At 48.3% G+C, this 14,492-nt stretch overlaps 1 annotated feature.

The window, feature by feature from the left end:
- Nucleotides 14,099-14,393: a silencer, noted in NCBI's record as "tiled region #2178; HepG2 Repressive DNase matched - State 4:PromP, and K562 Repressive DNase unmatched - State 4:PromP". NCBI's record gives its function as "represses a minimal TATA promoter and a strong SV40 promoter by Sharpr-MPRA in HepG2 and K562 cells {active_cell/tissue: HepG2 | K562}" and the evidence as "EXISTENCE:reporter gene assay evidence [ECO:0000049][PMID:27701403]".

Here is a 14,492-nt window from a genome sequence, read left to right as displayed (position 1 = left end):
ATGCACACACACACAGGGTGTTCTGTGTGCATGGACGTAACTGTGTGGGGTGGAGGTACCCCTGTGGCTGCCCAGTGTATGTGCCTCTGTGCTGCTCTGGTGACTTTTTTCCAATCAACACTTAGCCACAGGGGGCCAGGAGCTGGGAATGCAGTGTGGATAGGGCAGACACAGTCCCAGCCTGCATGGAGTGGATGGTCTGTGGGATTTGCTTCCCATAACAGTAACACTCTGGAAGGAATCCGTTTCCTTTGTAGGAAGTGACTAGGGGTTGAGAGAGAAGATGGGTAAGAGTGGAAAAGGTAGGACATCTGAGGTAGGTAGCTCAAGGGAGCCTCTGGCACTTGCCAGAAATGTATGGAGGAGACAGCCAGGACCTGGCACCGGCTCCACGACAGTCACAGGTCTGAGGATTCCCAAAGGTCTCCAGATGCTTTCCTTACAGATGTCCAGGGTCTTCTGTGAGTGTATATGTGGGCAGTTTGTGTGTGTTGGGGAGGGGGGGGTGTTTAGGTATATGTGCACAGATGAGCGTGTGTGGTTATGTGAATATGTGCATGGAATGTGCATGTATAAATGTGGGGACATGGGTAAGTCATATATGGTGTGTACGCAGGTGGGGTTTACATGTAGAGGTGGGGGTATGCTTGTGTGTGTGGCAGGGCCTGTTACTGCAAAGGAGAGAAGAGAGTGCCATTTGGCCCAGGCCTCACATTCAGAAGTCTCAAAAATGCATCCAAAAATGAGATGGAATGAAGGGAGGGAGGGAGGGATGGATGGCTAGGTAGATGGATAGGCAGAGGGCTGTCTGTGCAGAGAGATGGACAGAGGGTTGGACAGAGGAATGGATATGTGATAAAGCAGATACTGCAAAATGTTCATTGTAGTCCCCAGGTGCTGAGTATGTGGGTGCTCACTGTACCATTCTTTCAACCCTTCTGGATGCTTGATACTTTTCATAATACAACGAGTACACAAAGTGGGCTGGATGTCTAGCCCCAGAGAATTATGGATGAGATGGGAAGAACAGAATGCTCTTCATGCCATTTGAAACTTACATCCCATCACTGGACCACACAGCAATGTGAAATCACATTTTTTATAATTCTTGTGACGATCTTGTGAGTCTCTCAGTTGCACTGCATTGGATGTGTGTGGGTGCATGTGTGTGTTAAAAAACATTAATTTGTTAAATAAAAACATACCACAGTTGTGAACATCCTATTTAGGACTTTCTTCATTTTTAAATTAGCAGGAGCCTTAAAAGACAGAAGTGGTCTGGCTCAGCCGGGCGCGGTGGCTCGCGCCTGTAATCCCAACACTTTGGGAGGCCAAGGCGGGCGGATCACCTGAGGTCGGGAGTTTGAGACCAGCCTGACCAACATGGAGAAACCCCACCTCTACTAAAAAATACAAAATTAGCCGGGTATGGTGGCGCATGCCTGTAATCCCAGCTACTTGGGAGGCCGAGGCAGGAGAATCGCTTGAACCCGGGAGGTGGAGGTTGCAGTGAGCTGAGATCAGACCATTGCACTCCAGCCTGGGCAACAAGAACGAAACTCCGTCTCAAAAAAAAAAAAAAGAAGTGGCCTGGCTCTTTCCGTCTGTGAGCCCCTACTATGCAGGGTGCGTGTATGGGTTTGCATGTATGTGCACGTGTCAGGGATGTGAGCACACGTGGGTGGGTCAGGCTGACACCCATGTGAGTGCCCACACAGAGAGCTCAGCCTCCTCCAAGCCCCGCTGAGGCCAGCACCACTCTGAGGTGAGGAGGATGTCTTAGGATCGAGGAAGGGCAGCCACCAGCCCCAGGGCAGCATAAGGGACCAGGAACTCTGTCACCTGAGGCTTGGACACGCTCAGGCCAAGCGGCGTCATCCGGCCAGCAGCGAGAGTGTGGGAGGCTGTTTCCTGGAGGAGGATGGGGCAAAGGCAGGATGTCCACAGCCCTCCTGGGCCCAGCGGCTCCTTTCTTCCTCCCCATACATTTATATCTCCTGTCGGGACCATTCATCCTCCCCTGCTCAGTGCCTGTGGGCCCAAGTGGTCAATACCCCATCGTTGGACAGATGGAGAAATGGAGGCCTGGAGAGAATGCAGCCACTCAGGCCACACAACAAGTCAGCCCAGAGCCAGCCTGAGATCCAGCCTGGGTTCTAATCTCTGCCCCTACTGCCTGCCAGCCCTGCATCTCCCTCCTTCAGTCATTTGTCCACCAGCCAAGGCCTGCAGGGGTCCTACAGAATGGGCTCCAGGCCCAGCAGACCCAGCAGGGGAGGCCCCAGAGTGCCCTCCTGCCTAGGGAGGTCACATACAAAATCCAGGAAGACAGGTGGGCACCAGAAACAGCAGGTGGCTGAGAGGCAGGGCCTGGCTCAGCCACCAACCCTGTTAGAATGACCCTAGACAGCTCTCTGCCCCTTTCTGGGCCTGTTTCTCTATCTGTAAAATAAATGGGTTGAGGCCAGGAGCAGTGGCTCTCACCTGAAATCCCAGCACTTTGGGAGGCCTAGGTAGGCAGATCGCTTGAGCTCAGGAGTTCGACACCAGCCTGGGCAACATGGCAAGACCCCCATCTCTACTAAAAATACAAATAGCCAGGCATGGTGGTGCACACCTGTGGTCTCGGCTACTCGGGAGGCTGAGGTGGGAGGATCACTTGAGCCTGGGGAGTAAAGGTTGCAGTGAGCCAAGATTGCACCACTGCACTCCAGCCTGGGCATACAGTGAGACCCTATCTCAAAAAAAAAAAAAATACATAAATTAAAATAAATAGGTTGAACTATTAACAGTGGCTTTCAAATAATGTTTTGAAGCAGAATCCCTAAGTAGCTACAAGAGGAGCTCTCCTGGCCCATGTGGGGAAGGCAGGTGGATCTTGGCCCCTCACCCACTCTCCACTAAGAAGCTGGCCAAAGAATGTCCCACCGAGTCACAGAAGCAGTGGACAAGAAACCAGCCTTCAGCACATAACCAGGGCCCAATTCCAGCTGGGCCATTTACCAACTGCATAGACCTAGGCAAGGCTCTCCAAGCCTCAGCTTGCTCATCTGTAAAATGGGGGCAACGATACCAACCTCCTACAGCTGTGTGACAATTAACTGAGATAATTCATGCCCAGTGTTTGGTATGCGGTGAACATATTAAAACTTGAAGCAACAGTGACTGTTACTACTAGTTAGCCCTCAGATGAGAACCGGCATGAACTTGCTGGCTTCACCATGAGTTGTATCTCTTGTGCCAGATCCCAAAGCCAGTGCATTTTGGCAGCTGCTATCCCAAATTCCTCAGCTCCACCTACCTCTGCAGCTGCTCCAGAACAGCTGGGCATGCAGGGGCTGCTGCAAGGCCAGGCCTGGGCCCTGGGGAGGGCAAGCGCAGGGCTCCCTGTAATCAGGCCAGGCCTCAGAGCAAGGCCCGTTTCATCTGGACAACCAAGTCCCTGGCAGGCCATCATTAACTCCCCCACCCTTGCTCAGCACCCAACCCTGACCCAGCTGCTGAAGCCTCAGAGAGAAGGCAGCAGGTGTTTAGCCAAAGCCTTTCATTCCTCGGATCCCTCCCCAGGGTCTCCCAGGACCTCTGGGCTCAGGGAAGGTTCTGGTGACATAAGCAGGAAGGAAAGTCTTTCTGAAGCCAGGGCCTCCACTCACCCTACAGGCAGCAGTCCACACTGAGGAACAACGGAGACCTGGCATTGAGACTCCTACAACCTCAAAGTTGAAGAAAGCTCTAAAGCCATCTCATGTATATATATACAATACAATACCATTCAGCCTTAAAAAGACAAGAAATTCTGACACATGCTGCAACATGGCTGAACTTTGAGGATGTTATGCTAAGTAAATAAGCCAGACACAAAAGGACAAAAACTGTATGATTTCACTTACACAAGGTACCCAGAGTACTCTAATTTGTAGAGACAGAAAGTACAATGGTAGTTGCCAGGGGCTGGGAAGAGAGCAGAATGGAGAGTTATTAAAAAACACAAGATGGGCCGGGTACAGTGGCTCATGCCTGTAATCCCAGCTACTCAGGAGGCTGAGGCAGGAGAATTGCTTGAACCCGAGAGGCAGAGGTTGCAGTGAATTGAGATCTCGCCATTGCACTCCAGCCTGGGCAACAAGAGTGAAACTCCGTCTCAACAACAACAAAAAAAGATGAAAGACAAGTGTTGGCTGGGTGCAGTGGCTCATGCCTGTAACCCCAGCACTTTGGGAGGCTGAGGCAAGAGGACTGCTTGAGCCCAGGAGTTCAAGACCAGCCTGGACAACATGGCGAGGCCTCCATTTCTACAAAACATTTAAATCTTTTTTTTTTTTTTTTTTTTTTGAGATGGAGTTTCGCTCTTGTCGCCCAGGCTGGAGTGCAATGGCACGATCGCGGCTCACTGCAACCTCCACCTCCCAGGTTCAAGCGATTCTCCTGCCTCAGCTTCCTGAGTAGCTGGGATTACAAGCACCCGCCATCATGCCCGGTCAATTTTTGTATTTTTAGTAGAGACAGGGTTTCACCATGTTGGCCAGGCTGGTCTCGAACTCCTGACCTGAGGTGATCTGCCCGCCTCAGCCTCCCAAAATGCTGGGATTACAGGCATGAGCGACCACACCCAGCCTCATAAAAAGTAATTTTTTTACTTTTTGTAAGTGTTTATACTTTTTACAAGTATTGGTGAGGATGTAGAGAAAAGAGAACACTTGTACACTTCTGGTGGGAATGTAAACTGGTACAACCATTATGGAAAACAATATGGAGGTTCCTGAAAAACTAAAAATAGAACTACCACACGATCCAGCAATCCCACTTTTGGTTATATATCCAAAAGAAATGAAATCAGTAAGTCAGAGAGATATCTACACTCCCATGTTCACTGCAGTATTATTCACAATAGCCAAGATATGGAAACAACCTAACTGTCCATCACGGAATGAATGGATAAAGAAATTGTGATGGCCAGGCACAGTGGCTTACGCCTGTAATCCCAGCACTCTGGGAGGCCAAGGCAGGTGGATCACCTCAGATCAGGAGTTCGAGACCAGCCTGGCCAACGTGGTGAAACGCTCTCTCTACTAAAAACACAAAAATTAGCCAGGCATGGCGGCGGGTGTCTGTAATCCCAGCTACTTGGGAGGCTGAGACAGAAGGACTGCTTTAATCTGGGAAGTGGAGGTTGCAGTGAGCCAAGACTGCACCATTGCACTCTAGCCTGGGGAACAAGAGCAAAACTCTATCTCAAACAAACAACAACACAAAAAAATTGTGATATATACACAATAGAATACTATACAGCCTTTAAAAAGAAGGACATCCTGTCATTTGCAACAACGTAGATGAACCTAGAGAACATTACGTTAACTGAAGTAAGCCAGGCACAGAAAGATTAACACTGCATGATCTCACTTATGTGAAATTTTAAGTCGGACTCATAGAAGCAGAGAGCACAACAGTGGTTAACAGGGGCTGGGGCCAGGCCCAGGAGAAGGGATTGAGGAGATGTTGGTCAACGGATACAAAATTTCAGTTAGACAGGAGGAATAAATTCAAGAGATTTATTGTACAACACAGTCACTATAGTTATTAACAATGTATTGTATACTTCAAAATCGCTAAGTAAATTTTAACTGTTCTCATTGCAAAAAAATTAGTATGTGAGGTAATGCATACTTAGCCCAATTAGCCATTCCACAATGTATACATATTTATTTATTTATTTATTTTTTATTTTTTGACAGGGTCTTACTCTGTCACCCAGGCTAGAGTGCAGTGGTGTGATCCCAGCTCACTTCAACCTCCACCTCCCGGGCTCAAGCCATCCTCCCACCTCAGCCTCCCGAGTAGCTGGGACTACAGGTGTGCAACACCACATCCAGATAATTTTTGTATTTTTTGTAGACAGAGGGTCGCATCATGTTGCCCATGCTGGTCTCGAACTCCTGGGCTTATGTGATCTGCCCACCTCAGCCTCACAAAGTGCTGGGATTACAGGCATGCACCGCCGTGCCTGGCCAATATATACATATTTCAAAACATTATATTGCACACTATAAATGTATAAATTTGTATTTGTCAATTAAATTTTTTAAGTTCTCTGATTTGAATAATAGAGAGATAAACACACACATCTAGTGCCTTCTCTCAGTTAACAGATGGAGAAACTGAGGCCAAGACCGAAGAAGGGACTTACCAGAGTACACACAATGGGTGTGGGTTGAGAGGCATTCTCTGGCTTCCTGCTTCTTTCTAAACAAGCCCTCACCCCCACTCCCGAGTCTGCCCTACTGCTGGAACAGCCCCCTAACTACAAGCTTCCAGCTGGTTCTTCAGCACATCCGGAATTTCATCAGTCTTTAAAAAAAATAACTTTGCTCCTTTACTCTGGGTTTCATTCCCTCCAATTATAAAATCCTACCTGTCCCACGATAGCAGGGATCTTATCTGCCTGGTTCACCACAGGATCTCAACTCCCAGAGTTACATCTGGCAGGGCATCGCAGAGGCTGAATAAAAAATGAAAAATGAATTTTAGGCCAGGTGCGGTGGCTCATGCCTGTAATCCCAGCAGTTTGGGAGGCTGAGGTGGGTGAATCACTTGAGGTCAGGAGTTCCAGACCAGCCTGGCCAACATGGTGAAACCCTGCCTCTACTAAAAATGGAAAAATTAGCCGGGCATGGTGGCGCACACCTATAATCCCAGCTCCTTGGGAAGCTGAGGTGAGAGAATCACTTGAACCCAGGAGGCGGAGGTTGCAGTGATCTGAGATCATGCCATTGCACTCCAGCCTGGGCAACAAAGCGAGACTGCATCTCAAAAAAAAAAAAAAAAAAAAAAAAGAAGAATTTAAAAATTCAAAAGAATTCACCAATGGATTCCCACCTTCGACATACTTTATGTCCCATTCTCATCTATTCTAATGCTTAAACGCTTTTTTAAAATTAATTAAAAAAAATTTTTGAGACAGAATCTTGCTCTGTCACCCAGGCCAGAGTACAGTGATGTGATCTAGGCTCACTGCAACCTCCGCCTCCCGGGGTTCAAGCGATTCTCCTGCCTCAGCCGCCTGAGTAGCTGGGATTACAGGCATGCACCACCACCTCAAGCTACTTTTTGTATTTTTAGTAGAGACAGGGGTTTCACCATGTTGGAAAGGCTGGTGTTGAACTCCTGACCTCAAGTGATCCACCCACCTCGGCCTCCTAACATGCCGGGATTACAGGTGAGAGCCACCATGGCTGACCACTTAAACACTGTTAAACAATCTGGACTCACACTACCTACATAATTTTGTGTCCCATCTTTTTCACATAACATTCCATCATGAGCATTTTTCCTTGCCATTAAAATATTTTCTTAACAGCACTGAGATGGCCCCATACTCGCTGTCAGTGGATGTCCTCCACCCAGAAGCCATCTTCTCAGCCAGACTTCTGGGACCACTCAGGATGGGGCAAAAGAGAACAATGTATTGCTGGCTTCCAGCACACAGTCCCCCTCAACAAACATCTACAGAACATCTGAGGTGCCAGGCACAATTCTAGGCCCTGGGAGGACAGCAGTGAATCAAACAGACAAAAGCCCTTGCTTTCATAGAGCTTGCACTCTAATGGGGAGTAAATGAATGAATGAACCAATGAAACTACTTCCTGTGGTTGGACATTGAAGTCAGTGCTTCTTAAACGTTCCCTCTGCAGTAGCACTAGTGAACTGCAAGCAGAAAATCCCTTTAAAGTCTTATATGTTATTATTAATATGAATGTAAAGTCTGCATTCTATGTGGGCTGGCCAACTCATCCTGCTTTGCCTGGGACCTTTCTGGTTTGCGTACTGAAAGTCTCATGTCCTGGAAAAACTTTTTTTTTGAAACAAAGTTTCATTCTTGTTGCGCAGCCTGGGAGGCAGTACCTGCAGTGAGCCGAGATCGCGCCATTGCACTCCAGCCTGGGCTCACTGCAACCTCTGCCTCCCAGGTTCAGGTGATTCTCCTGCCTCAGCCTCCTGAGTAGCTGGGACTGCAGGCATGCACCACTACACCCAGCTAATTTTGTATTTTTAGTAGAGACAGGATTTCACCATGTTGGCCTCTGCCTCCCAGGTTCAGGTGATTCTCCTGCCTCAGCCTCCCAAGTAGCTGGGACTGCAGGCATGCACCACCATGCCCGGCTAATTTTGTATTTTTAGTAGAGATGGGGTTTTGCCATGTCGGTCTTGAACCCCTGACCTCAGGTGATCCGGCCGCCTCGGCATCCCAAAATGCTGGGATTACATGCATGAGCCATTGCGCCCAGCCTCTGGGAAAACTTTTTGTACTGGGCAAACTAGAACAATTGGTCACCCTAATTCTATGCCATATCATATCCATTTAAAAAAAACCACCTTTATTGAAATATATTTCACATACCATAAAATCCGCCTATGTTAAGAAACCATTCAGTGGTTTTTAGTACATTCACAAGGTTGTGCAATCACCACCACTAATTCCAGAACATTTTCATCACCCTAGAAGGAAACCCCATGCTCGTTTAGCAGTCACCCCTCATTCACACTTCTCCTAGGTCCCAGCAACCACTCATCTACTTCCTGTCTCTACGGATTTGCCTATTCTAGCCATTTCTTTTATGACTGTCTTCTTTCACTTAATATAATGTTTTCAAGGCTCATCCATGTTGTAGCAGGTATCACTGTATCAGTGCCTCATTCTTTTTACTTCCCAGACAAGATTCCATTGTACAAATATAAACCATACTTTGTTTATCCACTCATCAATTGTTAGACGTTTAGGTTGCTTCCACTTTTTGACTCTTATGAATAATGCTGCTATGAACACTCATATGCAAGTTTTTATATGAACATATGTTTTCATTTCTCTTGGGTATATACCTTGGAGTTGAATTACTGGGTCATATGGTAGCTCAATGTTTAACTTTTTGAGGAACTGCCAAACGGTTTTCCAAAGTGACCACACCATTTTACTTCTTACTAGCAATGTAAGAGGGCTTCAATTTCTCCACATCCTTAGCTATACTTGTCATCATCTGTCTTTTTGATTTTAGTCATCCTAGTGGTGTGACCTGCTATATTGGTTTTAATATAAAGTTTTTGTTCTAAATTAGTCGCTATCAAGTAAAACCAACCCCCTTTGAATGTGCACCATGTCTACCATATTGCTTAGAGCACCCTAACACACAACTCAGTACCTCTGAGGGCAAGGGTGCCAGCCTGTAGCATGTGGATTAAAGTCATTTGTAATGTTGTGATATTATAAATGACACTGTGATAACCAGCCTTGTACAGATTTGTGCACCTCTATTATTTTTTTTCCTTAGGAAAAATGCATAGGGATGGAACAATTTGGTTAAGGGATACACATTGAAAATGTAAACACGTGGCACAAAATTTCAAAGGGTGTACAGAGAAAAGTAAAGTTTCTTTCTTCCCCTGCCCTCAGGTCCCCTCCCCAGAAACAACCACTGGCACCAGTTTCTTAAGTATCCTTCCCAAAACATCTTAGGGTGCACATTTTTGAGGTTTCCAAACAAATTGCCACCAGAAATTTGCACTCATTGATAGACCCACTGCTAGTGGGAAAGTTTTCTTTTCACCATTTTGCCTACATTGTTCTTTTTTTTTTCTTTTGAGACAAAGTCTCTCTCTTGTTCTCCAGGCTGGAGTGCAGTGGCATGATCTCAGCTCACTGCAACCTCCGCCTCCCAGGTTCAAGTGATTCTCCTGCCTCGGCCTGCCGAGTAGCTGGGATTACAGGCACACACCACCGTGCCCAGCTAATTTTTATATTTTTGGTAGAGACAGAGTTTCACCATGTTGAACAGGCTGGTCTCAAACTCCTGACCTCAAGTGATCCACCCACCTTGGCCTCCCAGAGTGCTGGAATTACAGGCGTGAGCCATGGCACCTGGCCTTGCCTACGTTGTTCTTTTTTTTCTTTTTGCCACGTTAATCTTTAATTTTTTTTAATTGCTAATGAAGTTGAACTTCTTTCCATTGTATTTGTTGTATTATTCATATATATTATTATTTGTATTTTTCATATGTTTATTATTTGTATTTCATATCTGGTGCCAGAATGATATTTTTAAAAAAAATCTGGCCGGGCGCAGCGGCTCACATGTGTACTCCCAGCACTCTGGGAGGCCGAGGAGAGTGGATCACTTGAGGTCAGAAGTTTGAAACCAGCCTGGCTGGTTTCATGGTGAAACCCCATCTCTACTAAAAATACAAAAATTAGCCGGGCATGGTGGCACACGCCTGTAGTCCCAGCTACTCGGGAGGCTGAGGCAGAAGAACTGCTTGAACCCTGAAGGTGGAGGTTGCAGTGAGCCTAAATCGCGCCACTCCACTCCAGTCTGGGCAACAGAGGGGAACTCTGTCTCAAAAAATAAATAAATAAATAAATAAATAAATAAATAAATTTTTTAAAAGAAATCTAATAATGCTCTTGGTTAAAAATTATTAGATTTTTAAAAAAATCTAATAATGCTTCCCTACTGCCTGGGAATAAAGACCCAGCTCCCTAACTGGTCCACAAAGCCCCACATAGCCTGACTCCAGCTGCTCCTGGCCCTTTTGTTTGGACAACTTGCAGTTTCTAGAAACAGCCATGTGGCTTCTCTCCTCCTGGCTCTGGCAGTTACAGACATCACCTCCTCTCTGATGACTTTCAGGCTCACCTCCATCACACATCTCTCATGAAATCACTTGCTTACAGGGCCAGCTTGTATGGCCAGCTTGTATGGGTGTATGACCTCTGCAGAGGGACCCTACGGTTAAGAAGGGCCCCTAGACTGGTTTGATGCTCTGCTGTCGCTGTTTTGAAATTCATAGTACATTTTGGACAAGGGGCTCTGCATTTTCATCTGCACTGGGACCTGCCAAATATGTAGCAGGTCCTGCTGGTTTACCTTGTGCTTCCCACAGATGATGAGACACCCCTTGACCTCAGGGTCAGTCCCACCCCCTCTTGTATCCCCAGTGCCTGGCAGGAACCAAATGAATGCCTAAATTTTATGAATGAAATGAATGAATGGATGAAAACAAAGAAAGAATGATGGCATGAATTAAAGGAAGGAGTCTGTTATTCCTTGAAGAGTAAGGTAGATGGAATTATCAATGTAAACAAAAGTCAAAAAGGCATTCCAAGTAGAGGGAATGACCCCCATGGGCAAGAATTCACTGTGGGCAGGGCTGGGAGGCCCTGGGATTGTGGTTGTACCAGCCTCAGTGGAAACTCCTGAATCTGGAGGAAGTGGGAGGGGTGGGGCCATGGCTGATCTCTGGAAGGAGCTGTTTCCCTGACCCCAGTCAGGGAGAAAGCCCTGGAATCTAGAAGAGGAAGTTCTAATTAGTGCCCTCAAAGGGACTTCTCCTGTCACTGGGGGTAGCAAGCAGTGAGGCCAGGAAGTTGAGGGGGGTCAACGGGACGGCTTGACTCAGGGTTGGGGCATCAAAGCTTGGTGATCTTAATGACCCCAATTAAAGTGCCTTTGCACTACCTGGCCTCTGACTCACGGGTCAACACCTCCTGCCCACCCCGCATTTAGTTTAAAGGGTTTCTCTGGGCCCTAGGCCCTCCCTTGGCATCCTCCCCAACATTCCAGAAAGTGGATGGTCATCAGGCTCCCAGGACCAGTGGGACCAGTGGGAGATTAGGGGCAGCCCCTCAATGGATGCCCTAGCCACCCATGGAGACAGAAAGATAATGACCTTTTGGGGTTTATGGGCATAGGGCTTGGCCTTGCCCGAGCAAGGGAAGAAGCCCAATGGCTGCAAACCCCTTAAAGGGTTTTATATTGCCAACCTGGGTCCATCCACCCTTCCCCTCACCTCCTTCCATTCTCTCCTCTTCATTCCTGCCCTCCTAGTCATAGAGGCTTCCTTTCCAGCTCTTGACCACATCAAGTTCATTCTTGTCTCAGCCTTTGCACTTGCTGTAGTAATCTTACTGCTTGCAACACTCATCCCCCAGATCTAGGCACAGCTGCTTCTCATTAGGCAGGTCTCAGCTAGAAGACCACTTCCTCCCTGAGGAAGTCAACCCTTCTGCACCCCATGGCCTTGCTTAATTTTCAGACTGTCTGAATTGGAATCCTACCTCCATTAGCTACTAGCTTGGGCAAGATACAGAGCCTCCCTGTGCCTCTGTTTCCTCGCCTATACAATGAAGATAACAGAAGCATTTATATCATTACACTGTCGGAAGTAGTAAATGAGTTGACACAGGGCCCTGCACATAGTAGGGCTCCATGCATATTAAGCATTATGACAATCACTGTCTGCCCCCTGGAGGTCACTTTGGGAGAAGAGACTGTGTCAGCCTGCACAGAGCTGTTACCCCAGGGCCTAAAACAGTGCTACATAAAAGGCACTCCAGAAATAGGTATCTAAATCATTGATTCATTTGTTTCTCTCTGGGTATTTTCCCTTTTGCTATTCTCTCTCTCCCAATTCAAGCAGATTGTTGGTTAGGCAGACAACAGGCTTCCGAGGCTGGCAGGGGAGGAAAGATGGAGTGAATGGTAACTGCAGAGACACCTCTGGCTCTGCAGATGGTGGCCAGAGCCCAGTGACCAAATGACCCCGAGCCGCACTGTGAACCCAACTCCGCAGAACAATTCTTGCCTTTCTAGTAATGCCCAGAAGAAGCAGAGAGAGAGAGATGTCAGCCCCAGAAGGGCCACTCAGAGCAAAAAGGACAATGGGTGTTGCAAGGTGATCCATGTAGAAAACATGCCTGGGAACACACACACATGGACCTACCAAGCCTTAGCTGCACGTACATTTATCTCCCATCCCAGCTTAGACACAGCTCCGGATTGAAGAGAAAGAAAGTTCTACTTCTTATACCCCTAAGTCAATCACACCTGGCGCTCAAATAAAAAGTTCCCTTATGACTCCTCACTGAGAGCCTCTCAGAGCCTCAGTTCTGCCAGTGTAAGGTGAAGGCAGTTCCATCTCTCCTACGATGCTTGTGCAGGTTTCAATCATGATAAAAAGTTCCCAAGGGCCAGGTGAGGTGGCTTACACCTGTAATCCCAGCACTTCGGGAGGAAGAGATGGGAGGATCGCTTGAGCCCAGGAGTTGGAGACCAGCCTGGGCAACAAAGTAAAACCCTGCCTCTACAAAACAATAAAAAATTAGCCATGGTGGAGCCGCATGTGGTCCCAGCTACATGGAGGCTGAGGCAGGAGGATTGCTTGAGGCCAGGAAGTGGAGGCTGCAGTGAGCCACGATCGCGGTATTGCACTTCAGCCTGGGATACAAAGCAAGACCCTGTCTCAAAAAGAAAAGTTCCCAAGGACTTGCTGTGTTACCTCTTTTAATCCTCTCAACAACCCTGTGAGATAAGAACTATGATCTCTGCTTTAAAATAAGGAAACCAAGGCACAAAGTGATTGTGTAACGAGGTGAGTTTGAGTAGCTGGTCCAAGACTGAAGCTCAGGTCTAACCCCAGCCCCCGCCACCCTTCCTCTCTACTCAGAAAAAGAAGGTAATCAGAGGGTGTGACAATGTTTGGTAAACGGCAAAGACTTGCGCTGATACGGGATGACAGAAGGCGGGGCGGGCGCGGTGGCTCACGCCTGTAATCCCAGCACTTTGGGAGGCCGAGATGGGCGGATCACCCAAGGTCAGGAGTTCAAGACCAGCCTGGCCAACATGGTGAAACCCCGTCTCTACTAAAAATACAAAAATTAGCTGGGTGTGGTGGCGGGCGCCTGTAATCCCAGGTACTCTTGGGAGGCTGAGGCAGGAGAATGGCTTGGACCCAGGAGGCAGAGATTGCAGTGAGCCGAGGTCGCGCCACTGCACTCCAGCCTGGGTGACAGAGCAAGACTCCGTTTCCAAAAAAAAAAAGAAGAAGAAGAAGAAGAAGGCGGGGTGGGGAGCGGCCCTGGACAGAGAGGGAATGAGGCATGTGTCGCTCAGCACCGGCCACTGTCCAGTGGAGGTGCAATGCCATGCCAGACAGAGCTGTGGTTCTGCACAGCCTGGCCCAGGAGGGCCTTCGCTGACCCCAGTTGACAGGAAAAGAAGTAGCAGCCCGGCCCCCGGAAGAGGGGGAGGGACGCGCTTAGACGCCGGGAGAGTGCACCTGACTGGTGTCAGGAGGTCCGCGTCAAGTGCCAGCTCTGTCTCTAGTTCTCAGGGTGACGTCTGGCTAGTTCCTCTCCTCTCGGGACACCTGTTTTCCCGCCGGGCTCAAGTGCGGATCAATCAGGGCTGGGAGGCTCCGGGAGCCCGCGCGCTCTCCTAGCTCGGCTCCGTAGTGCCCCCCGGTGGACAAACTGGTGCGTGCCAACCTCAGCTCCGAGAAGAACACCCGCAGGAATCGCCCCTTCCGTCTTCAACGCCTGGCCCTGGGTGCACGGAGGAGGCGCGCACATGCCTCATTTCCAGGGCCCAAGAGGAAGGTGAAGGTTCCGAGGAGATCTGGGCGGGCGAGGAGAATCCCCAGGCTCTGGCTCTGACGCTTGTTTGCTG

This window comes from Homo sapiens, chromosome 1, assembly GCF_000001405.40.
Source record: "Homo sapiens chromosome 1, GRCh38.p14 Primary Assembly".
Classification (NCBI taxonomy): domain Eukaryota; kingdom Metazoa; phylum Chordata; class Mammalia; order Primates; family Hominidae; genus Homo; species Homo sapiens.
Note: the sequence above shows the minus strand (reverse complement) of the source record. Positions and strands in the feature narration are given on the sequence as shown.